The sequence below is a fragment of the Homo sapiens genome, chromosome 15 (assembly GCF_000001405.40).
Source record: "Homo sapiens chromosome 15, GRCh38.p14 Primary Assembly".
NCBI lineage: Eukaryota > Metazoa > Chordata > Mammalia > Primates > Hominidae > Homo > Homo sapiens.
The window spans coordinates 34772757-34798624 of record NC_000015.10 but is presented as its reverse complement, the minus strand read 5'-3'; the positions used below and the strand labels follow the sequence as shown (position 1 = coordinate 34798624).

At 42.1% G+C, this 25868-nt stretch overlaps 1 protein-coding gene and 1 long non-coding RNA gene across 7 annotated transcripts in view, besides 1 other annotated feature; one reads left to right on the top strand and one right to left on the bottom strand.

Annotated features, from left to right (window-relative positions):
• GJD2-DT (GJD2 divergent transcript) overlaps positions 1-25868 on the bottom strand; it is a 57840-nt gene that overhangs the window by 14299 nt on the left and 17673 nt on the right. The window contains exon 2 of the long non-coding RNA NR_120329.1: positions 21194-21354. This is a non-coding gene — a long non-coding RNA (GJD2 divergent transcript). The remainder of the gene's footprint in view (positions 1-21193; positions 21355-25868) is intronic.
• Positions 1458-1929: an enhancer, noted in NCBI's record as "heart enhancer 26". NCBI's record gives its function as "activates a minimal c-fos promoter by transgenic reporter assays in zebrafish embryonic heart {active_cell/tissue: heart(embryonic)}" and the evidence as "EXISTENCE:transgenic organism evidence [ECO:0001131][PMID:20075146]".
• ACTC1 (actin alpha cardiac muscle 1) lies at positions 3076-8395 on the top strand. 6 transcript variants are annotated; one of them, NM_005159.5, is made up of 7 exons: positions 3076-3119; positions 3795-3945; positions 5056-5380; positions 6056-6217; positions 6344-6535; positions 7330-7511; positions 8070-8395. In NM_005159.5, exons 2-7 carry the CDS (start codon positions 3817-3819, stop codon positions 8211-8213), a joined length of 1134 nt encoding a protein of 377 aa, NP_005150.1. In that variant the 5' UTR covers positions 3076-3119; positions 3795-3816; the 3' UTR covers positions 8214-8395. The 6 variants fall into 6 exon arrangements, with proteins under 6 accessions (NP_005150.1, NP_001393412.1, XP_047288935.1 ...); NM_001406483.1 differs by having other exon boundaries at positions 3076-3467; XM_047432979.1 differs by having other exon boundaries at positions 3076-3482.

The following is a 25868-nucleotide window of genomic DNA, read 5'->3' as shown; positions in this document are numbered from 1 at the left end:
TTAAAATATATAAAATAGGGTTCAAAGTTTTTAAAATGTGGAAATCAAGGCCAGGCTTGGTGGCTCATGCCTGTAATCCCAGCACTTTGGGAAGCTGAGGCTGGCAGATCAGTTGAGCCCAGGAGCTTGAGACCAGCTTAGGCAACATAGTGAAACCCCGTCTCTTCAAAAAATACAAAAATTAGCGGGGTGTGTTGGCATGTGCCTGCAGTCCCAGCTGTTTGGGAGGCTGAGATGGGAGGATCAGCTAAGGTGGGAGAATCGGCTAAGGTGGGAGGATCACCTGAGCCTGGGAGGTTGAGGCTGCAGTGAGCCCTGATTATACCACCGCACCTGATTATACCTGGGTAACAGAGGGAGACCCTGTCTGAAGCAAACAAACAAATACATAAAAATAAAATAAATAAAATGTGGAAATTGAGTGGTAATACAAATAGTAAATATCAAACAATCATAAATTTTTAAGAAATAAGCATTCGTTCTTGCTACACACATAACACATATGAAAATACACTGTTTTGAGTGTTAGGCAATGAAATTGAGCGGAATAGGAAACACATTTTTCAAACATTTTAAGGGTGAATATTGTTTCACAAAACTGCTGTTGTGTCCTGCACTGTTCTACTGGCCTCCCACTAGAGCCAATGGTCCTGAGATGAGGGGGCTGGAAGTGGCCTCCTAGATCCCCGAAGCCTGTGCGAAGGACAAAGGTCAATAATCATGGTTTTCCATTCCTGAGAGTCTTTGCACCTATAGCAGTCATAGTGGGAGTCTCTCACCAGCCACTCCCATGCAGAAACTCTTTCTCTCACACAAATGTTCATAAACTTCAGTTCTGCTCTACTTTTAAAAACGAACAACACATCCTGGGGAAGGCTTTCTCGGCAACTCTTTCAGACCTCCATTCCCTTTTTGTGACTATCCTGCTGATACCTCTTCTTCCCTCCCAGTTTGTGCCATAGCTGTCTGACTTTTCTGTAATTGCCACGGAGGATGAGTCCTGCTCTGTTTTATTTATCACTGAATCCTTAACTAGCACAGTTCTTGTCCTGCAAAGATTTGCTGAATCAATGAAGAATGAAATCAACCTGATTCTTTAAAAGGCAGAGCTACTACTGCCTCCAAAAGTATCATTATTACACATACAATTTGCTTTGTATCTTCCATATTACTTACAGCATTTGTTTCTAACTATTACAATACACAATAACTTCTGCAACAAGTGTTATGGTATCACTTTTGAGAGGGAAAACTTGGGGCTTGGGAAGGTTAAGTGTCTTGCTCAAGACCAAACAGATAGTTAGTAAGTGATAAAGGCAGCATTTGAGCCCAGTTCTGTCTGGCTCTGACACCAGTCCCATTTCTCCTTTTCCTTGGTTTTTCTATATTTTCACGAGACAAGGCAGTTCTACTCTTGGCATCCTGTCAATAAACATTTTCACTGTAAAATGCCTGCTGTGCTGCACAGAGTAATCTCAGCCAGGTCTCTTACCCGACCCCACCACACAGCTGCCCATCGCGTTTCTTCTCCAGACCAACCCAAACATGGTTGGGGAGTTCAGAGGGGAGGGCCCAGCATTCCCCAGTCGGGACAAGTATCTAATCAGCAGGCCTCCTCAGCATATCAGCCCAAGACCACTCTAGAGAGAGATGCCAGTGCCCAGTTTTCTATTTTTAACTGGTGTGAACTGGAGGAAAAACACAAGCATTAAAAATCAAAGCTCCAGTCAAGAACTGAGAATGCAGGGCACCCCAGGGCAAACTAGTGATCTGTGTCCTTCTTACATCTCCCTCTTCCTTCTCCCTCTCCTCATTTCATGTCATTTTTCTTTTTCCTTCTCAAAAGTTCAAGATCCTGCAAAATCTGTTTTCCACAGAGGAGATGATATCTGTCATTTATGCCAATGCTTCTCACACTTTAATGTACATACCAAGCAAATGAGGATCTTGCTGAAAAGCGGATTGGGATGGCTCTTGAGATTGCATTTCTAGCTCATTTCCAGGTTATGACAATACTGCTTGTCCATGGGCTGCACTTTGAGTAGCAAGGATTGGTGTAGTCCTATAGTTTAAGTTGTTGCTATGTTCTCCATCAAAGTATTTGCCTTTGCAGTCTTGTCTCCACCTGGAGTGAGGGCCTCTGCCCCCAGTTTAAAGATGCTCATCTCCCCACCATCAAGTGGGCAAGCTACTTTTGGCATTTGTTCCTTTATTCACTTTGGCAGCAGGGGATCCTTTTCTGGCCTGAAGACCAGAGTCTGAATTTGAGCAAAACCCTGCAGCATGGATGAGGGCTACCCAATAACTGGGCTGGGGTAAACCTGGTCCCTTCTCCAGCAAGACTTGGCCAAGCTCTCACAGAAACCCTTTTCTGACTCTTCCCTGGCCAGACCCTGATCCATGCATGGGTTGGAACTCGGGTGGCCTTGGTTAATCTCAGCTTTCTGACCTAGATGAGCCCAGCACCAGCTCTCTGAGTAAAGCCATTCAGGCTGGCGGGGACTAGACCAGAAGGGTGCCCTGTCCTGGGTGCCCCTTTTGCAGCCACTCAGATGTGCTGCTGCGGTGTCCTTTGTGCTGGTGGCAGCCCTGGAAGATGAGAAGCCGCTGTTGCTCCCCTGCTGCCCTGGCCCAGCTGTCAGGACCCCTCAGCAGAGGGCAGGGCGCCAAGCCTTCCCACTGCATGTGGCTTATTGTCCCCAAGGCTGGCAGGGCTGCGGAGGACCGAATCCACAGACCATCCAGGGAGCACCCACACCCCAGAAAGGGGGAGGGGTGGGCTGGCGTCACTTAGTCTTCCCCTGCCCCCTACCCTTCAGCGCCTGCCCCTCCCCAGCTCCCTATTTGGCCATCCCCCTGACTGCCCCCTCCCCTTCCTTACATGGTCTGGGGGCTCCCTGGCTGATCCTCTCCCCTGCCCTTGGCTCCATGAATGGCCTCGGCAGTCCTAGCGGGTGCGAAGGGGACCAAATAAGGCAAGGTGGCAGACCGGGCCCCCCACCCCTGCCCCCGGCTGCTCCAACTGACCCTGTCCATCAGCGTTCTATAAAGCGGCCCTCCTGGAGCCAGCCACCCAGAGCCCGCTGCCGCCGGAGCCGAGCCGACCCGCCCCGCCGACGGTGAGTCAGCGCCCGGCCCTCCGCGTTCACTCCTCGCCTGGTCCGCGGGCCGCGCCGGACGCCAGCCCCGCGCCGCCACCTGGCCAGCCCGGCCCGCATTCAGCCAAGGCCCCAGCTCCTGCCGCTCTGCGACTGCCTTTTTTTTTTTTTTTTTAAAGCCCACACTTTTTGATTTGGTTCTAACTTGTTTTGTCCTGGGCGTTGGTCCTCGCAGGACCTCGCAGGGGCTCTAAGAAGGGGAATTTTGTGGCTCCCCAAGGGGCTTTTGGGTCCCTACTCTCGTGCGCTTTCCCCTCCATCTGGGGCACAGGCATGGCGATATGGACAGGGCTGGAGATCGAGTTCCCAGTTCGTGAAAAGGAAGAAAGTTAAAGGGCTGGGGAGGACTAAGGGGCTGGGTTTCTTGGGTCCCTCCTTGCACCTGGCACCCTAGCTGGAACTCCTGGCCAGGGAGCCTGGGTGGATTCCTCTGCCCTTCTCTGTCCCCAGTCTCCTCCGCGGCTTCTTCCCTCCCTTTTATGATTCGAGGGGAAGGGAGGTGGCAGGAGTGTTCCCCGCCCAACCCCCTGTCCAGTCCCCACAACCCCCTTCTGCTCTGTCCTGTCCTCTGGGTGCGGAGAAGGCCAGCTGCACAGGCAGCTAAGCGTGGTCCGCCCTCCCCTCCTCAACCTGCAGAACCCCCTGAAGCTGTGCCAAGATGTGTGACGACGAGGAGACCACCGCCCTGGTGTGCGACAACGGCTCTGGGCTGGTGAAGGCCGGCTTTGCGGGCGATGACGCGCCCCGCGCTGTCTTCCCGTCCATCGTGGGCCGCCCGCGGCACCAGGTAAACTTCCCGCCGAGCCCCCCGTCCCACTCGGGACCCCTTCAGTCCAGCGATCTAGGAAATGGCTCTCACCTGACCCTCTTGTTCGATGAACTCTTTAGGCCAAATTAAGAGAAGGCTGATTGACTTCAAATCCAAGCCAAGGCAAGCAATACTCCACAAAACCCCAACATACTGAGGAATGTACACCTGAGTGGCACGCCTCTAAAAGGGTCCCACTCCCTGGTGTGAAAGCCACCTGCTTCTCTCCACTAATGGCCTTTTGGACTTTTAGTCTTTAGTGTCTTCTCTGCCTTATACACTTCATTTTCTTCCTTGTCCTCTCTTTTCAGTCCTGTTTAAAACTTCTAACAATATCACCTCTCCCAACCAACCAGGACCAAATCCACATTCCTCTCTCATGTTCACAGCCAGTTTACAGGGTTCCCCAAAGGTGTAATCAATCTATCTCCTTCCTGGCTGTTGCATTTTTAGAAGCCAGGCGTGACAGAGGCAGCAAGTGCCATGGTGATAGTGACATACCACCTCGTTTGTTAAAAGACATGCCATGCTCTCTGGGTTTGTCACATGCCTGGCCAGACAGGCTGCCAAGCAGGAGAGCTTAGTCCTCAGAGCTGGTGAATGACTCCAGAACAGCTCTGGACAGGCTGAATTTCACTGTTGGAGTGAGGATGGCATATCAGCCCATCATTATGTGTTCACTTGAATGTCAAAATCTTTTTCTTAGGAGAAATACAATGTGTCATTAATTCAGTCATTCCAAAATGCAGTCATCTATATTCCAGTTGACATGGGTGATGAGCTTAATAACTTAATGAAGGCATATGATATTTTTAAGGTGAGGTGAGGCTCTGCTTCTTCAGTGGAATAGCTTCATTCTCTCCTGAGTTATATTCTCAACAATAGAATTATACATCTTTGGGGGAGTGGGGAGAAGGTAGAAGATTGATTTTTAAATAATTCTTCTAAATTGGGGTAAAATCGTATTGCTTGTTATTTCTGGTATTTAAATATGTTCCTTGACTTGGGCAGTTAGATATAAATGGACAAGACACTGATTATATTCCTGACATGGTGAGAGCATGATTTTCTCATTTTTTCTTCTCATAGGGAGTTATGGTGGGTATGGGTCAGAAGGACTCCTACGTAGGTGATGAAGCCCAGAGCAAGAGAGGCATCCTGACCCTGAAGTATCCCATCGAGCATGGTATCATCACCAACTGGGACGACATGGAGAAGATCTGGCACCACACCTTCTACAATGAGCTCCGTGTGGCTCCCGAGGAGCACCCCACCCTGCTCACAGAGGCCCCGCTGAACCCCAAGGCCAACCGGGAGAAGATGACTCAGATCATGTTTGAGACCTTCAATGTCCCTGCCATGTACGTGGCCATCCAGGCAGTGCTATCCCTGTATGCTTCTGGCCGTACCACAGGTATGCTGGGCTCTGGGGACAGTTACTGATGAATCACATTCCCAAGTCACCGACCTTGCTGTGAATCAGATCCCCCAGTTGAAAAAGGGATAATCCCTTTCCTCCCATTCCCTAGCAAGGTCTGTGCTAAGAGAAAGAGTTAACAGTAGTGCCCTGAGGTTAGTTTCGGAGCACAATTATTGTTGGAGCTGATAGCTTGTGGAGATAGGTCCTTCCCTCATTTAAAGCTCAGCGCAGTGTAGCAGCTTGGAGTGCAGCAGTCATTGTTATGTGTTTAAACCATCACATCACCTGGGCAAGCATCCCCAAGGAGAATACATTCCATACAGGGTCTGAGTCAAAAGAGAGAGAAACGTGTAAGTTCAATAGGAGCAAAGAAAAACACCCTTGGGTGCTTACATAATGTGCTCGTGGCTGACAAGAAAGATGGTCATTTGAAAGTGTCCTCGGGAATTTTTTCTACTATAATAGTTAAAAAGATGAGCTGCAGTTTGCTTCAGATTTAGTATTCCTGATGCGCATTTTTATTCTTTGTGTGTAAGGAATCTAATTTTATCTGGATCAATGCCCATTGCTAGCATCTCTTAGCCAAGATTGGAAGCGGGCTTTGCCGTGGCTAGAGCAGTGGTGTTGTCCTCAGGAATTTACCTTGTTCTTGTCTACTTCCCCGGGCAGGCATTGTTCTGGACTCTGGGGATGGTGTAACTCACAATGTCCCCATCTATGAGGGCTACGCTTTGCCCCATGCCATCATGCGTCTGGATCTGGCTGGTCGGGACCTCACTGACTACCTCATGAAGATCCTCACTGAGCGTGGCTACTCCTTTGTCACCACTGGTGAGTGTGTGTGTCTCATCTGCCACAGTGTGGGTCTGCTTTCCTCCTCTCTCACTGAATCCGCCTACCTCCCTATAATTGACTTCTTGCTTCAGAGCATGACTGTGATACTCTTTATTTCTGTAGCTGAACGTGAAATTGTCCGTGACATTAAAGAGAAGCTGTGCTATGTCGCCCTGGATTTTGAGAATGAGATGGCCACAGCTGCCTCTTCCTCCTCCCTGGAGAAGAGCTATGAACTGCCTGATGGCCAAGTCATCACTATTGGCAATGAGCGCTTCCGCTGTCCTGAGACACTCTTCCAGCCCTCCTTCATTGGTGAGTTGTAGGGTCTGGTGCAGAGGCACGATTTTCCCTGGAAATCTTAGGGTCTCCCAGAGTAAAATCTAGAAGGCTCAAGAAGCCCTTGAGTTAAAAGAAGTCATAGTTTGGATTCCCACACAGCTCAACCTCAAGTCCTGATGGCTCATTAAAGGGGAAGTCTATGTTCTGCTCTAGTGATATAATAAAGGATGACACACTGAGTTCATCTCAAAATAAAGGATGACACAGAGTAGTAACTGAATAGCACGTATCTGCAGGAAAAGGGCTAGTTCACAAGAGCTGACTTATTCCCGTAAGTTTCACTACCAAGTAGCTGGACTTTCCAAGTTCCTCATCATTAAATGCAATAACATTCCTACTCATATTAATAACTGGGCACTTATATGTCAACAAATATCCTTCCTAAGCAATGCTTTCCATAAGGAACTTTGTCAGGATCTGATTTAAGTCCATAAACAAAAATTACATTCATTTTAGTTTAAACGTGTATCTTTTCCTTTTCCAATACATCTTCATACATCTGAGAGTTTCAGGAGGTGTTTACTTGAAACAGGTGCTAAGCACAGTTGCTCCTTTCTTGGCATTGTATTGTGGATTAACTGTGAGGCACCCATTCCACCCTGCAGTGTGTCTTATAGGGGAACATATGTTTCAGAGACAAATGGTGACAGCTCCCCCACACAAAGAAGTTCTGTTCTCTTCCCTCTACCTTGACCTGAATGCACTGTGATGTGTGTGTGTGTGTGTGTGTGTGTGTGTGTGTGTGTGTGTGTGTGACTCGTTCCCAGGTATGGAATCTGCTGGCATCCATGAAACAACTTACAATAGCATCATGAAGTGTGACATTGATATCCGCAAGGACCTGTATGCCAACAATGTCTTATCTGGAGGCACCACTATGTACCCTGGTATTGCTGATCGTATGCAGAAGGAAATCACTGCTCTGGCTCCTAGCACCATGAAGATTAAGGTAAAGAACTTTTGTGAGTGGGAGATCCGAGGCAAGTCTTGGTATTCTAAGCAGAACTACGTTCCAAATTCCTTTTCCCTCATACTCAGTTTCTTGTCTCCTACAAACTTTACCTGTTAGCTTTTCTACCACTTTTTCTGATTTTCTTAGCACTTTTCCCAAGATAGGTAACTTCCAAAATGCTTTTAAGCAGTGAATAAAAATAAATCTTTGACAAAAAAAAGACACACACACACGCAACAAAATCTTTGAATACATTTTTAAAGCTCCCAACTTTTGGGCTAGGCTCCACTACACATTTAGCTTGTTGCCAAATTACACTCTAGGTAAGTGGAGAAATTCCATTTTAATAATAGAATATATCTTTAATAATATAAATGATGAAATAGAGGTGAGTTCATATAACTTGATTGGCCACATTATTTCGTGGTATGACATATCCCACATTATAGCGAATTAATATCTAATGGTTTTTTTCTGTGAATCCTCCCAATGTGTTATTTGCTCCCTTGCTTGGAACTTCAGAGTTCACTGGAAGTTTTTGTTTTCTTTCTGCAGATTATTGCTCCCCCTGAGCGTAAATACTCTGTCTGGATTGGGGGCTCCATCCTGGCCTCTCTGTCCACCTTCCAGCAAATGTGGATTAGCAAGCAAGAGTACGATGAGGCAGGCCCATCCATTGTCCACCGCAAATGCTTCTAAGATGCCTTCTCTCTCCATCTACCTTCCAGTCAGGATGACGGTATTATGCTTCTTGGAGTCTTCCAAACCACCTTCCCTCATCTTTCATCAATCATTGTACAGTTTGTTTACACACGTGCAATTTGTTTGTGCTTCTAATATTTATTGCTTTATAAATAAACCAGACCAGGACTTGCAACCTATAAAAGCCTCTCGTTTGTTTTTGGGGTAGGCGTGGGGTGGGGCAGGTGTTTGCTTTGACACCCTGAGCATTGTCAAAGTTCAGTACCACAAGGTTCATCCAGATGAATTAATATGACAGTTAGCTGGGAGTTATAATGCTAACTTTTGATTTCATATTTTGAGACAGAATCATGAATATATTTCATACCTGAAAAGCAGATTAAGGTTTAGTTCCATATAAGTAAGAAATGAAATTGAATAAGATAGTTCTCTAGAATTAGTTGCTGCAGATGACACTGAAGATTATTTTAACATATGTTCCAGTTGTTTTTGTAACCTTGCAGAAAATACACATATATTGATAATGAGAAAGTCAAAGATTATTTTAAATGAATTGGCTTAACTTTTCAATTCTTTGAACTCTTCAATTTTCTTCCTGGGGGCTATGAAAGAAACATGAAGGTTAGCTGACAGTTGGGCCAGCCACATCCCATTGCAAATACCCTCTAAACATATCAAGACCATTGTGTGTGTGCAAAACAAATGTGAGGAAGCAGGAGCCAAACACTTCTGCCTGATCAGTGACTAACTTGCGAGACAGAAGCCTTCAATCTCTTCGTTTCTTTGAAATCTTGAGATCTTGGGTTGAGTGAACTGAAGGCTGCGAGGTCCTGAGGGAGCAAGGGGAGGCGAGAGCCACAGTGTTTGCTTTGCTCTGTGCAGAGCTCTCTGCAAAGTATGGTGGGAAGGCTGCTAGGGGCAGCGTTGAAAAGAATTGAATGTGTTCCATCCTCGAGGAGTTCACACACCTACACATAATCCCCCAGTGCGTGTGGCCTGGAGGCTTTAAGGAGATGTATGTGGGTCTGGGTCTTAGAGAATGGTCAGGAATTAGGGAGGTGAGAAGAGCAGAGAGGACATCTCAGCAGAAGGAAGTGTGGCAGAAGCCAGGATACAAGACATGGGGCAGGCTGGTAGGTGCTGATGAATTTTAGAAAATCCACTGGGAAAGGTAGATTTCAACTAGATTGCAGAAGCCTTACAGATTTTTGTTTTCAAATTAATTGCCAGTGAACTGTTAGCATTCACAGAAGTGTTTGAATAGACTTAATTGAATTTTATTGATGAGGATTCAAGACACAGAGATTAAGCAACTGGTGCAATGTTATAAACTTTATTTGTGGAATGTGCTAGACAGGAACTCAGATTTTCTGACACCTACTCTGATGGTGTCTCTAAAATAATCTTTCTAACTTTATAGTTTATCAAGGGTAACCCCATTCTATCACATGCCTTTTGAGAATTTGGGTTCAATATTTGGAGTACTCTGGACTCATCAGACATCTTTAATAAATTGTAATACATTGCCACTGTCATTCAAGGTCCTATGTGTGTCTTTTTGCCTATTCATACCAAAAATATCTTTTGATCCCTGACTCTGGGTCGGGCATAGTATTAAGGGCAGGGGACACAAAGATGTATGAGAGCACATTTTCTGTGAATAAAAAGCTCAGAGTTTAGAGTTCTGTATGTAGCATATTCAAATGGAAGGCCTTCTATGCAATAAAGGCTAAATAATACATCAACTTGGTGGCATTTTATTTAGATAAGGTGCAAACATTATTGTACATATGCCCCCCGCCCCCACCACCCCATTGTATCCTATAGCACAGTTGAACTGGTTTAAAAGCCATGCATGGGGAGGTATGATTTCACTAGTTTTTGTGTCTCTTTCTTTTCCTCTGTACAATTGAGTGCATAAATATTATGAATTGTATCCTCTGAACACAGTATTAATGCTTTAACTGTAGATGATTGGCTGGGGTATCACCTCTGGTTCTTTCCATCTGTGATTAGAAATGGAGAGGACATTTTTATTTCTATGTAAAAGTAGAAGCTTTAAGAATCAGCTTCTGATATTTATATCAGAAGAGGTAAGCACCCAGATTCTTGTTGAATTCTGAGGTCTTCTCATCTTTGCTTGATTATAGGGTATAAAGTATTAGAACAATTGAATCTTAAAAATTGTGCTTAAGGAAGGTACTAAGACAAAAATGTTTGCTTAAGGTAATCTTCATATGTATACAATAACTGAGACATGGATAGTGCCTACGTCTTTGGTTAAAGTGCAATAAACAAAGAACTATATAAATTATATTTCTTCTTAATTTATAATAAAGTATTGTTTGTAGTTTCTAATACCTCCAAACACCACTTCTTCATTTATTTTGACCAAACAATGGCCATTATGTAGATGTGTTTAAATATTTAGGAGAGTACAGTGGAGAGAAAAGAAATATTACTGAAGAAAATAAAATATTTAGAGGGGTAGGGCTGACTTATTGTATCCAGAGATACAATGTGAACAATGTGACTGGGTCTCCACCTTTCCTTCCAGTTCTCCCATAGAATTTATTACAGTCTGAATTGTGTTTCCTCAAAACTCATATGAAGCCCTATCTCCCAATATGACTGTATTTGCAGACAAGACCTTTAAGGAAGTAATGAAGGTTAAATGAAGTCATAAGTGTGAGGCCCTAATCCAATAAGACTGGTGTTCTTCTAAGAGGGAGAAGAGACACCAGGAGTACAAGCACAGAGGAAAAGCCATGTGAGGGCAGAGCCAGAAGGCGACCCATCTGTAAGCTGAGGAAAGAAGCCTGCTGACACCTTGATCTTAGACATCCAGCCTCCAGAACTGTGAGAAGTAAATGTCTGTTGTTTAAGCCACTGATATGGTTTGGCTGTGTCCTCACCCAAATCTCATCTTGAATTGTAGTTCCCATAATCCCCACATGTCGTGGAGGGACCCAGTGAGAGGTAATTGAATCATGGGGGCGGTTACCCTCATGCTGTTCTCATGATTGATAATGAGTGAGTGCTCATGAGATCTGATAGCTTCATAAGGGGCTTTTCCCCGCTTTTCTTGGCACTTCTCCTTCCGGCCACCATGTGGAGAAGGACATGTTTGCTTCCACTTCCACCACGATTGTAAGTTTCCTGAGGCCTCCCCAGCCGTGCTGAACTGTGAGTCAATTAAACCTCTTTCCTTTATAAATTGCCCAGTCTCAGGTATGTCTTTATTAGCAGCATGAAAACAGACTAATACAGCCACCCAAGTCTATGGTATTCTGTTATGGCAGCCTTGGCAGACTAATATAGGATTTCTCCACCATCCTATAGGTAATATAGGATTTACCAACTTAGCAGCCTCTGAGACAAAAGAATACCTTCCCATATAGTACTGGCAGAAGTCCCAGGAAAGTGTCTGAGCCTGGTCAGGCTTAGGAACCAAGTCATACCATTCTTACTGCAGGGGCTGAGCAATACTATTTAGCAGGGGAGAGGTGATTCTCCAAAGGAAGAGGACAAAATAGTGCAAACACCATACCCAGTGAGCTAGAGGAGGAAAAAATTCTGGTGGCTTGTAGGGGAAGAATTGATTGTTGGATGGCTCCCACCTTCCAGCTCAGGAGTTTTGATTTGACAGGTCCTGAGAAGGACTTGAGAAGAGCAATGACTTCATGCAAACAAATCTAGGCAGCAAGACAGAGAGCCTTTGGATAATATATTCCAGTATGGCCTCAGGACCCAGGGACCCAGTGATCTCTATATGATCAGACTATCTGGATTTTTAAAAGGAAATAATAAGTCAGATTCATTTTATGGTTAATATGATATAAATGCTATAAATATATACCAGGAACTAATAGGGAGGGAAAAAATATAGGTCTTTTAGGCCTAAAACAGCAAAAGTTGTCTATTCACCTTAAGGTCTTCCAGGCTCATTATACAAGAAATCTCTCTTCCAGGCAGAGCTTCTCTGGCTGTTGCTATGGTAACTAAACTCATGGTAGGAAGACATCCAAAACAAAGCTCCTGGAGAGGTTGCAAAAGTACACCTCTGGTCACTGATGAACTTGATGTTTGAAGACGTTCTTTGAAGTTCATTCATTAGCCCTGGGTGCAGCAGATGCAAGAAAGGTTGACTCGGAGGATAAAGAGCTTCAGTTCAACTATAGTTCTCTGAGTTCTTGTGGTTCTGGGCCCCCTCCCCTCCCTGGTTGAGGCTGGAAGTGAAGGGGAGCTGGGTCAGCTGAGAGTTAAGTAGGGGTGGCCTGCATGTCCTTCAGCATCATTGTCTGCTTATTTTCCTGCATTGTTTTACTGTAACTTCCATGGAAGTCATGACTAAAGAGGGGAGACAGAAAGAAAACTACCCCAAGGGAAGGCTGAAGTAAAGCAGAATTAAAACAGGGCTTAAATAGTAGATAAGAAGCAAACTCTAGAGTCAATTGTAAGCAAGGAATTGGGTCAACAGGGTAAGCGTTTAACACAGGAAGATGACTTGGGGAACTTTGGAACTATTACTGCAAGTGGCCTGGAGGCATCATGGAGGTCAGGATATGAAAAAACAGGCATCATGTAGGAAGTTTAAGAGCAGCTCTGCCTTAGGCGAAATAGTGAAATTTTCCTAAAGCCTCTTGAACTCTAGGATGTACACTTTAGTCGTCTTTTCCAGTGTCTTCCACAAAATGCTGGCCATCTCGGACATTCTCCCTGTCACTCCAGTCACAGATTGAAACTTACCTGTTGTATTAGTCCATTCTCACATTGTTAAAAAGAAATACCTGAGACTGGGTATTTTATAAAGAAAAGATACTTGATTGGCTCATGGTTCTGCAGGCTGTAAAAGAAGCATAGTAGCTTCTGCTTCTGAGGAGGCCTCAGGAAGCTTCCAATCATGACAGAAGGCAAAGGGGGAGTGAGGCATCTCACATGGTGGGAGCAGGAGCTAGGGGCAGGGAGATGCCACACACTTTTAAATGACTAGATCTCATGAGAACTCAGTCACTAACGTGAGGACAGTACCAAGGGGATGGTGCCAAACCATTCATGAGAAATTCACCTCCATGATCAAATCACCTCCCACCAGGCCCTCCAACATTAGGGATTACAATTCAACATAAGATTTGGTGGGGACACAGATTCAAACCTTATCATCCATCTTTTACCTGCATCCTTCAAAGAGCAGACTGTGCCAATTAAGCAATCTCTTACCTAAACTATGTTCCCAAGGGAACGCTCGAACAGATCTCCCTGCCAGAGAACACAAGCATAATTTAACCAAAGTTTTCTACATATAGTTTCTTATTAGACTAGCCCAAAGGATTGATGTTGCATGGGCTTCGGGTCAAAAAGATTTGAGTTTAAATCCTAGCTCTGCCACTGATGAGTTGAGTGGTCTTTAAGTAAATCACCTAGCTTCTTCAGGAAAGAAGGGCTAACTAAAATCGTGTTCTCAGAGTTGTCATGAGAATGGAACAAAATGTGCTTAAGATACTCAGCACCATGCCCAGTATGAGCTGAATTATTCAATTAAGTTTACTTTCCTTCCGTCCCCATTTCTTTCTTTTTAGCATGAACTTTGGAGGCTGGGTTGGGAGGTGTTGGAGAGGGGCAGAGGTGGGCTACGGAAGTCTCTTCAAATCACATTGTTATGGTTTCTCTACATTGAGTTTCTCTTGAGAATAGGAAAAATGAATAGGAAAAATGAAGGAATAGAAAGCTCAGTGGGAAGAAAAAAATTAAAGGGCATTTATAACAGGATGTAAAGGAAGGCAAAGAGGAACACAAAGTCTCTTTCTTGGAGACCTGGAAGACAAATTACAGAGAGTCGTGGTGTGGGCAGGAGGAGCAGCAGCTATGTGTGTGCATGTGAGTGTGTGCTCCCACACATAATACAGGTGAGAACAATCAACAGAGGGTTGGACTGATGGCCATGTGAAAAGGATCTGCCTGCTGTTTTTCTGTGCTCTTCAACTCCCACTATTCTCCCCATGCCCTTCTCACCCACATTTGAGAGCCTGGCCTTTCCTCTCTTCCCTTTGTATATATGGAATCAGCATAGATGGACAAATATTCCATCTATTGTCTAAATAAGTTGACATGAGAGAATTTGACTCCACAAGCCAAGACTTCCAACTAACTCCTTTTCCTGCCAGCTGGATCTGTACAGGAGCAGGCACTTAGGGAGAAACACTGTCCCTACTCCTACTCCCACTCAACTTCCTGGCTTTGTGCCATGCCTCTGCCTCATGGAATTTCTTTTGTGTTTTTAGGGATTTGGGCTTCATGTTCTTTGGCTCTAGATCCTGGTCAATGCTCTTAGTCTCAAGGAACAGAACTCTCCTCAAACTAGGGAGTTAAGTTAGGAAGGGAGTTTATTAAAGAGATATAGAGGAACTCCTAAAATCTGAAGATATAAAGTAGACTTAGACTTCATAGCAAATGGGAATTTAGAACTGCAAAACCATCAGGAACAGCAGGCATTCTGCATTCTCTATCTCTTCAGTTCCCCCTTATAAATGAACTGTACCCATCTCTCCTACACAGATTTACTCATGTAACTCCTCCTGAAGGAATGGCCCTAGGCAGACAAGTTTGTTTCATGCATGGCCCCAGGTCTAATGGAACCAGAGGGGAATATGTCTGGCATGAGGACTTGTATATCTAAGGACCAGCAACCAATCAGACATTTTTTCCTCTCTTTAGCTGGAACTAAGAAGCACAGGTGGTGCTGTTAGTTGTTTGTGGTCTCTGGAACTGACACATAGCAGATGGTGGCCAAGATGGGTTGAGAAAGCAAAGAAGGCAAAAAGTTGCCAAGAGAAATAAGAATATGGAGCTGCTACAGCTCAGGGAAAAAAAACATGAGTGCCTGAACACACCTCTTGGGTAAGGGTTGTGTGTGCGTGTGATGTTTTTCTTGTATTATGCAAGCGTTTTGGTGGAACACCACCCACTATATATTATATCTGTTTTCCTTTAACTCTGGGAAGTATTAGAAACATATTTAAACTAAAATTTGAATTGAGAACAGCCTATGTGATCACACCTACTGGAGGATCTGCATTACTCTTCAAATGAATGAAATGACTAGGTAGAATTTTAGACATCTTCAAACAAGTGGGAAGGATTAGGGTACAGTGGGTAAGGGCTGTCATCTAAAAGACCACCAGGAATGGCTACATAGTAGAAAGGAGAGCTTTATTGTAGATGTCAGTTTGCAAACCAGGAAGAAATAGTCTCCAGTCTGGACCAAAGGTACTCTGTCTTCGAGGAAGGAAAGGGCAGGTTGGGTTTTATGACTCACACAGTCCATATTACACAACCATGTCATACATATTTAGCAGGTGTGCGGGGAAGCTGTCCATATTTATGAAGGATCCAAGATATGCACAATAGGTAAACATATATGTAATGTACATCCCATGTTCACTTTGGGGCAGGGGTTTAGCATTAAAATGAAGTGAAATTTGGCGATTTACACCAAAAGTGAACTATAGGACACAAAGAGAGTTTGCACATAACCTTTATATATTGGCCGAAACTGGCTTATGGTCTTCAGTTGAAGAGAATGTTTATAAGGCTGGTCCTCTGCCCAGTCAGAGTTGTAGTGATCTGGGTTGTAAATCAGAGTTAGGAGGGGGTCTGATAGCTCTTATTATCAGGGAGTTTAGCAAGTTGTGGCCAAATTCTACCAGATCAGACTGAAACTATTCCCAAAAATGGAGGAAGAGGGACTCCTCCCTAACTCATTCTATGAAGTCAGCACCACCCTGATACCAAAATCTGGCAAAGACACATGAAATAATCAAACTACATGTCAGTATCCCCACTAAACATACATGCAAAAATCCTCAGCAAAATACTACCAAATCCAATAGCACATCAAAAAGTTAATTCACCATGATCAAGTAGGCTTCATTCTTGGGATGCCAAGTTGGTTCAACATAGACAAATCAATAAATGTGATTCACTACATACACAGAATTAAAATAAAAAATCATATGATCATCTCAATAGATGCAAAAAAAGCTTTCAGTAAAATATAACATCCCTTCCTGACTAAAAACCCTCCAGAAACTAGGCACTGAAGGAACACATCTCAAAATACTAAGAGCCATCAAGGACAAACCCACAGCCAATGTCATACTGAATGGGCAAAAACTGAAAGCATTCCCCTTGAGAACTAGAACAAGACAAGGATGCCTACTTTCACAACTCCTATTATTCAACATAGTACTGGAAGTCCTAGCCAGAGCAATCAGGCAACAGAAAGAAATAAAAGACATCCAAATAGGAAAAGAAGAAGCTAAAAGATCTCTCTTCATAGCTGATATGATTCTATACCTCAAAAACCCTGAAGACTCCACCAAAAGGCTCCTGGAACTGATAAACAACTTCAGTAAAGTTTCAGGATATAAACTCAATGTACAAAAATCAGTATCATTTCTACACACCAATAACAGCCAGGCCAAGAGCCAAATCAAGAATACAATCCCATGTACAATGGTCACAAAAATTTAAAATACCTAGAAATTCATTTAACCAAGGAGAAGAAAGTTTTCTAAAAGGAGAACTACAAAACACTACTGAAAGAAATCACAGATTACACAAACAAATGGAAAACATTCCATGCTCATGGATTGGAAGAATCAATGTTGTTATCATACTACCCAAAGCAATCTACAGATTCAATGCTATTCCTATCAAATCACCGATGTCATTTTTTCACAGAAAGAGAAAACACTATTCTAAAATTCATGTGGAACCAAAAAAGATCCTGAACAGCCAAAGCAATCCTAAGCAAAAAGAACAAAGCTGGAGGCATCACATTACTGGACTTCAAATTATAGTATAAGGCCACAGTAACCAAAACAGCATGGTACTGGTATAAAAAAAAAAAAAAAACAGACACATAGGGCAATGGAACACAATGGAGAACCCATAAATAAAGCTGTACACTTACAGCCACCTGATCTTTGACAAAGTTGACTAAACTAAGCAATAGGAAAAGGACTCCCCATTCAATAAATGGTGCTGGGATAGCTGGCTAGTCATGTGCAGAAGAATAAAATCGGACCCATACCTTTCACCATATATAAAAACTAACTCAAGATAGATTAAAGATTTAAGGGTTTAAATGCAGGACCTCAAAATATAAATATCCTAGAGGAAAACCTAGGAAACATCATTCTGGACATTAGCCTTGGGAAATAATTTATGACTAAGTCCTCAAAAGCAATAGCAACAAAAACAAAAATGATGAGTAGGACCTAATTACATTAAAGAGTTTCTGCACAGCAAAAGAAACGATCAACAGAGTAAACAGACAACCTACCAGATAGGAGAAAATATTCTCAAACTATGCATCCAACATCTATATGCTAATATCTAGAATATAGAAGGAACTTAGACAATTGAAGAAGTAAAAAACAAATAACCCTATTAAAAATGGGCAAAAGACATGAACAGACGCTTCTCAAAAGAAGGCACACAAGCAGCCAACAAACATATGAAAAGATGCTCAACATCACCAATCATCAGAGAAATACAAATCAAAACCATAATGAGATACCATTTCACAGCAGTCAGAATGGCTATTAGTAAAAAGTCAAAAGTTACACATGCTGGTGGGGCTTCAGAGAAAAGGGAGCACCTGTACACTGCTGGTGGGAATGTATATTAGTTCAGTCACTGCAGAAAGAACTTAAAACAGAACTACCATTTGATCTACCAATCTTATTACTGGGTATATATCCAAAAGAAAATAAATCACTCTACCAAAAGGACACATGCATGCATATGTTCATCACAGAACTATTCACAATAGCAAAGACATGGAATCAAACCAGATGTCCATCAATGACAGATTTGATAAAGAAAATGTGGCACATATAAATCATGGAATACTACTCATCCATAAAAAAGCATGAGATAATGTCCTTTGCAGCAACATAGATGCAGCTGGAGACCAATATCCTAAGTGAATTAACGCAGGAACAGAAAATCAAATACTGCATGTTCTCAACCACATTGTGTACTCATAGACATAGGATGGCAACAAAAGACACTGGGAACTACTAGAAGGGAGAGGGAGGGAGAGAGGAGGGATCATTTGAAAAACAATCAGGTACTATGTTCACAACCTGAGTGACAGGATTAATTGTACCCCAAATCTCAGCACCACACAATATACCAAAGTAGCAAACCTGCATATGTATCCCCTGAATCTAAAATAAAAGTTGACATTATATTTTTAAAAAGTAATATAGGTTGTTAGAATTCAGAAATGAAATTTCATTTAGAAAGTAGAGAACAGATAAAAATAATGTTTAAAAATATAGTAAAATTTTTATATACATAAAATTATATAAATAATTTATATGTTTATATTTACATGTAAAATGTATATACTTATAAATTTATATAAATAAAACAATACTTTATAATCATATTAATATGACTATATTTAAATATATTGATATACTGTATATATATTATATATTACACATTGTACCTACACGTGTGTATGTGTGTGTGTGTGTGATGTGCAAGAATTTGAAAGACAAGTGTGGAAATTTGGATTTGATATGAGAGAATACGTGCTTTTACTCAGGAATTGATGACATTTCCTGAGAAGAGAAGTGGCCCACTGGAATGATGTTTAAAGAAGGCGAATTCCAGCATTTATGTCCAGAATGGTTTAGTTAGTGGAGATCCTTACGGAACAATGTAGTCCAAGAGCAAATAGACAATTTAGGTAGCACAAACTCTAAAGGCCAAGAATGTAGAGCCAGATTCTTCTTTGTCTTCCAAAGGAGAGATTGATCTAAATCGTTTTATGAAGCAAGAAAATGTGACTATATGATACAGGGTTTAAAGAGTTCCATTAATAATTACCATGGCCTTACACCACAGAGCCTATCCAGGAAATCTAAACTGGCTTTCTGAATTCTCAGTTTAGAAAGCACTTTTCACACCATTTGAGTCTCCTTTGAAATTGAAGGAACTTATTTTAAAACTGTGTAACTCTTACAATAAAGAGTAGCCAGATTCCTTTTTATATCCATTACCCTAGAGTGTCAATTCCATTGTGTTATAATAACTGGTTTGATTTTAATATATAAAAGGGAGCTCCATCATTGAAATATAGTATAAGGATCCTAGTTTTTAAAAAGAAAACTGTAGCTTGGTAGGGATGGAGTATTCATCAGAAGGAACTTGATGAGTATTTGCTCTAAGTATACATCTTAATAGGAAGATATAAAAAATAAAAAAATATATATATCCAAACTGGAAGAGAGTGAAGCATGATACAAAGACTTTAAAAATCAATTGCAGGGCCAGGCATGGTGGCTCATGGTGGCTCATGCCTGTAATCCCAGTACTTTGGGAGGCCAAGCTGAGAAGATCACTTGAGTCCAGAAGTTCAAGACCAGCCTGGGCAACATAGTGAGACCTTGCCTCACCTCTACAAAAATAAAAAATAAAAAAATTGGCCAGGCATGGTGGGGCACTCCTGTGGTCTCAGCTACAAGGAGGCTGAGGTGGGAGGATCCCTTGAGCCTGTGTGGTGGAGGTTGCAGTTAGCCAAGATTACACCACTGCACTCCATCCTGGACTACAGAGTGAGACCTTGCCTAAAAAAAAAAAACTAATAAATAAATAAAATAAAAAATAAAAAAATTCACTTCAATCGTCAAAGGTTGGATTGAAGTTTCCATCAACCAGGGTCCACACAGAATTAGAGTAACCAGAGGCCCCTGCAGAGATGAAGCATGAATGAAAAATAAATTGCTGTTACATTAATCACTGAGATTGTGTTTGTTACCACTGTGTGACCTAACGTATTCTCACTATTATCCTCAGCTTTAGATATTCACCTCCCCAAGATTTCACTTTTTGTTAGGGCCCTTTAGGTTATTTTATGCCAGCTGTATAATACATTTAAAATAATAAACGTGACCGGGTGCGGTGGCTCACGCCTGTAATCCCAGCACTTTGGGGGGCAGGCAGATCACTTGAGGTCAGGAGTTCGAGACCAGCCTGGCCAATATGGCGAAACTCCATTTCCACTAAAAATATAAAAATTAGCCAGACGTGGTGGCACGTGCCTATAATCCCAGCTACGCTCGAGGGAGGCTGAGGCAGGAGAATCACTTGAACCTGGGAGGCGGAGGTTGCAGTGATCCAAGATCGCACCACTGCACTCCAGCCTGGCGAGAGAGCAAGACTCCGTCTCAAAACCGAAACCAAAAACAAAACCCAAAAATTAGCCAGGCATGGTGAGCGTGCCTGTAATCCCAACTACTTGGGAAGCTGAGGCAGGTGAACGCTTGAACCCAGGAGGTGGAAGTTGCAGTGAGCCAAGATCGCGCCATTGCACTCCAACCTGGGCAACAGAATGAGACTCTGTCTCAAATAATAATAATAATAATAATAATAATAATAATAATAATAATAATAATAATAAACAGTTACCCAGAATTTTTATTTCACTTGAGAGGGCTCTTCAATGTATCCAAAGTGCCATGCTATCAAAAATAGAAGTCTCTTACTGGGTACGGTTATTCCATTTTTTGGAGGAAGGGGAGTTTAATTTTCCTTTGGCATATGAATGAAATAGAAAATATATTTAAATTTTCTCTAGTTACATTTTGTTGTTTCAACATATATGATGCTAAGTCAAAATGAAGGATTTTTTTTCCCGTGTACTTTGCTTTAGTCCATGGCTAAAGTTCACATCCTAACCTGGCTCATCAGAGAATTATATTACCTTTAAAACTTTAAAAAATTAAGATATAATTTACACCTATACAATTCACTCATTTAGAGCATACAATTCAATTGTTTTTGGTATATTCACAGATAAATGTAACCAACCATTAGCACAGTCAATTTTAGAACATTTTTATCAACCCCCCCAAAAAACTTTGTATTCTTTAGCTAATACTCTCCTATCCCCCTACCTAGAAGGACTTTGGTGGGATGGTCTGGTTGCACATACTTCTTTCCAGGGAAGAGTAAAAATACGACTTTCATTTTAATAAACATGGCGGCTTTTGTCTTCGATTGCAAGGAAAATAATCAGAGCCTTTGCCTATGTGATTCCGCATTGAGCTCTTTCCTCCTGTCAAAAGACAAAATTTTAACAAATTGAGTTTAGTGATAGAATTGGCTTTTATTAGTAATTCATGAATCAGGCAGCACCCTATCTATGAAATTTAAAGGTGCTTTGATGAGCTGAGCAGAGGAGGTGAGCTTTATAGGCAGAAAAGGCTGAAGAAAGCAGAAACAAGGAATAAAACACAGATCAGTCATTTCAAAGCTACTTTCTTTATGGGGTTAAAGCAGAGGAGACTTTCTTATCATGCCAGCTGAGGTTGACTGGACCCCTTTGGACTGCTTGCTGTGAATCTCCTGTTTTCTTGAAAAACAGGCCTGTTTGTAAGTTCAGTGCTTACGTAGCACCCAGCACAAGTGACTCACTCCATTTTGGTTTGGGCTGGTATCTTGGGGCCTAGTGCAGAAGTTCAGTCCAAAACAACAGTGTCCCATAAATTTTATTTAATACTCCTTCCAACAGAGAATCTTATTTGCCAGAAAAGACTTCTTGAGACACCTCATCTAAGTTGACCTCAACTCCACCCCACTATGTTATCTGGGTTTGTCTCCTTCATAGCATGTGTCACATAATTTTCTGTGAGTGTTTACACTTTATCGAGGTGTAATTTATACACAATAAAATGTGTTCATTATAAGTATGCAATTCAATTAGTTTTGACAAATATATATAACTTTCATCCTAATCAAAATATAGTACATTTTAAATCACCCCCATATTTCCTCCTGATCCTCCAAATTCAATCTTCTGTACCTTAACCCCAGACAATCCTCTATCACTGTAGATGAGTCCCGTCTGCTCTGGCATTTCATATTAACCATAATTCAAGCTATTTGATTGCTTATCTAGTTTGTTTTTGTCTCTACTACTGGCCTTTTTCTTCACACCATGGTTTTCTAGCACAAAGTGTCTAGCGCGGAGCCAGGCAGTGCCAGAGTGAATGAATCCAAAATCATTCTGTTTATCAGCTTTGATTTTAACAATGAAGGCACCTATATATTTGAAGGGAACAGTGAAGACTTTATTGTGAGGGTTAACACACAGGAACCTCTTATGTCTGCCTTCTTTGCCCTCACCTTTGTCGTCACAACAGTGTCAAAAACAGCCTTGAATGAGAAAGGATGTCATGACAGGGGTCCCACTCTTTTACCTTTGGGCACAATGTGTCGTCGTTTTAAACAAACATGTTGAAATAGTCTCATTTAATTGTAACGTTTCAAAACGTTGATCTTTCAACTTAGTAGGATAAAGATGTTTCTAACGGCATCTTGCAAGTCACACTCTTGATAACGGGGCAGGAGATCAATTCAAAGCACATCCCACTTCTGAAAACACACTCAAGATGCTTGTGTTCTTCCAGCCAATGTCATGGCAGCTCTGTTAATTTTGATACAATATTTCTCTTACTATAATATCATCAAATCTTGAATGATATCTATAACTGCTTTTCTCCAAAAGTGTTTGAAGCCTGTGAACTGGCATGTCTCTTTCATGCCTTGGGGAGGGAGGGCTCAGTTGGGCATGCCCCCTTCACAGGTGGAGAAGCTGAGGTGGAGTGACCCCTGTACGGAGTGATTTTCCTCGCTTCCTTTGCACGCCTTCATTTCCGGCATGGCGGTCTGTGCATTCCCCTTCAGCTGAAGTTCTAAATCTCTTTTTCTCTCAACTATCTAGGACACATGAGAATTAACCTACTCATGTAGATTACAGGGCCCAGCCCTCATTAACCTTAATATTGAAAGAAATACAGCTTTTGCAGTTGGAGAAGTGGAAATGCCCTTTCACTCAGCACAAACAGCAACATTCCCATGAGCTGAGGAGATGGGCTTTTTAGGGAGTAGTTCATCCAACACAAACTTTTGTTTCTAGTCAGTGAAAATTTCACATATATAATACCTCTGGATTTGTGGATCCCTTTTTAAAGCATTTAAAAATGACATCCCTGAGGTTCTTTTACAGTAGATCTAAGTGCTGTCTATTCTGTATTTTCTTTACGTCTTTTGAATGAATAATTTGGTCCTGAAATTCTCATCTTCCTCCCTAGCAGGTACTGGATTGCTATTTGTTGAAGGACTGAACCGCTGACCCTTCATTCTTAAACACTGAAGTCGAATGAACTGTAGACCTCTTCTTTTCCAAGGATCAGGCTCTCTGTCTGTGCCCTGCTTTTCTAGTCTGATCTTTGCTTTAATGGGATTTAAGTACTGAGTGAATCTCAGCCACGTCCTTATCCCTCCTCTTTGGTAGGTGTTGCTTTTGTCAATGACATTGGGTTTAGGGGGAGAGTCACCTTATGGGTGGTGAGAAATAAATGTCTGTTGCAGAAGCCACCAGTCATGGTATTTTATTATGGCAGCTCAAGAAGACTGATGTTCTCACTTCCACTGAATTGTTTTCTTTATTCTTCTCATCCCCCATTTTCATTCTCAACTAGCACGGAAGTTGTACATTCTATTTCTATTCTTCTAGTGCTTGCTCTTAAGCACTTAATATATGTTTAACTCAACACAATCTAAAGTTAACTTCTCTGCTCTTTCTGTTATGATAGTCTTGTATTTATTCTCACTTCACTCACGTTAGATACGTACAATAGATTCTTTTTGAAAGAAGTTTACCTTTCTTTCCTCATAATTTTTTCCCTCACATCCCACTCTGGCTTTAATTATTTTCTTGACTGACAGCTCTGTGTAATTATTTCAGTGAAGGTCTATGAGTAGAAAACCCTTTCCTTCTTTGTCTCAAAAAAGAATCTTTATTTTACCCTCCCTCTTGCATATAGTTGGGTATATAGGCATAGGAAAATAACTGCAAGGCAGTGCTTATATCTGAGTTGAGAGACTACTGGTAGTTTTCCTTATTTATGTGCATATTCTAATTTTTCTATGCTGAATATTATTTGGATAATTTCTTAGAAGTTAAAAGCTGCACAACAAAATGTGATAAGAAATGAATACTTTGATCACTGGCTCATCAAATCAGTGCCAAATACTCATATATTCTGATTATGTTTCTGCAAAATTTTCTTCAAGAGAACCATGGAAGGTGATGCTGTTGCCATGGCACCATAAAAGTAGTCCCCTTAGAAGTTCAAATGGAGGAGTCACATCGTTCTGGGCTCAGGTTTCAGCTGCTCTGGGTTGCATTTATTTGCACTACTTCAATGCAAATGTGCCTTTAATCCTGCTTTCTCTCCTTCCCAGTGGTGGAATGTAGTATCTGCCTTCATGTAAGACTTGAAGCTGGAGTGCGAAAGAATCTTAGCTGGCACCCACTGTACCTGGGAAGCATGGCTACATCCCCTCTCTGCTTTCAAAGCAGATTTTTTTTTTTAACATGAATTGATGCTTCAGTTGGCATTGCAAGCAGCATCTGCTCATGGGATGGAAATCCAGAGTGTAATCCAGGTCTCCTCCAAAATCACCAGATTTCAAAGGACCATAGTGAAAATCAAATTTCTAAGGAGAGATCACAGCCAGTGACATTGAGCTAAAGTCATTTTTCCAGCTGCTCAGGGAGCTGGTCAGCTGGAGAAATCTGAATTCTCTTCACACAGAACTCTATGAGTCAATTAGTCCACACTGCTATTTTATTTTTAGCAGATTGTGTTTGGATTCTTATTTTCTCTTGGGTTTTGGTTAAAACAGTTTTTTCTCTGCTCCTATTACACTGAATCCTGCAGCTGATAGGAGCTCCAAATTAACCTCTGATATTTGTAATCAGTAGATTTCTTTAAGAGAAAAAAAGCAACCAAATCACTCCTGACATCAAAATCCATCTGGTAACATGCACCTCCAAACTGGCCACGAGAGATTCAACAGAATGCAGACATTTCACCCTGTATGTGGCAGGTGTTCAGTATAGATGCATTGTTTTCATTTGATGATGGGCTTATTGTATTTAGGATTGCCTTTTTGGAAAACACCAGTAAATGCTCAACATGAAAAATAAAATTGTGGGACCTCCATATAACAGATGGAGAAGAGAGCACATGCATTTGCTCTCATTCCCTTCAGAAACCTCACTATTATGGTAGCAAATATATTTTTTTAAGAAGCCATAAATCTATAAGAGCAAACAAAATAGAAAGCTGGAAGGCAGATAGATGAGTGATAATGACTTAGCAGGCAGCTGTAGAAAAAGCTGAGCTACAGTCTGTTTTACACAACAGAAATCTGCCAGTCCCAAAGGTTCAGGAACTGGGGCTGAAGAGGAGGTAAGGATGTAACTAAAAACAGGAGGGTTGTTTGAAAGTCTGTTGAGGAAGAAATTCAAGTTCTATATCCCCTTCACCACTCCATGTAGACAATTAATTGCCGTTCCTCCACCACAATAGAGAACTAGATGTTTAGCCTCTGGAGAGGGCTTCTGGACTGGGAAAACACTGGCCAGAGTTGATGGTGAGGAGACAGTATTGTAACAGAGTGTTTAAGTGACTTTTATATACGGACTATTGAAACCACCAGCCCATTTCTCCCTCCGGGCTTCTAGAATGGTGGGATCCAAGGCTGTAGCCTCTAGGC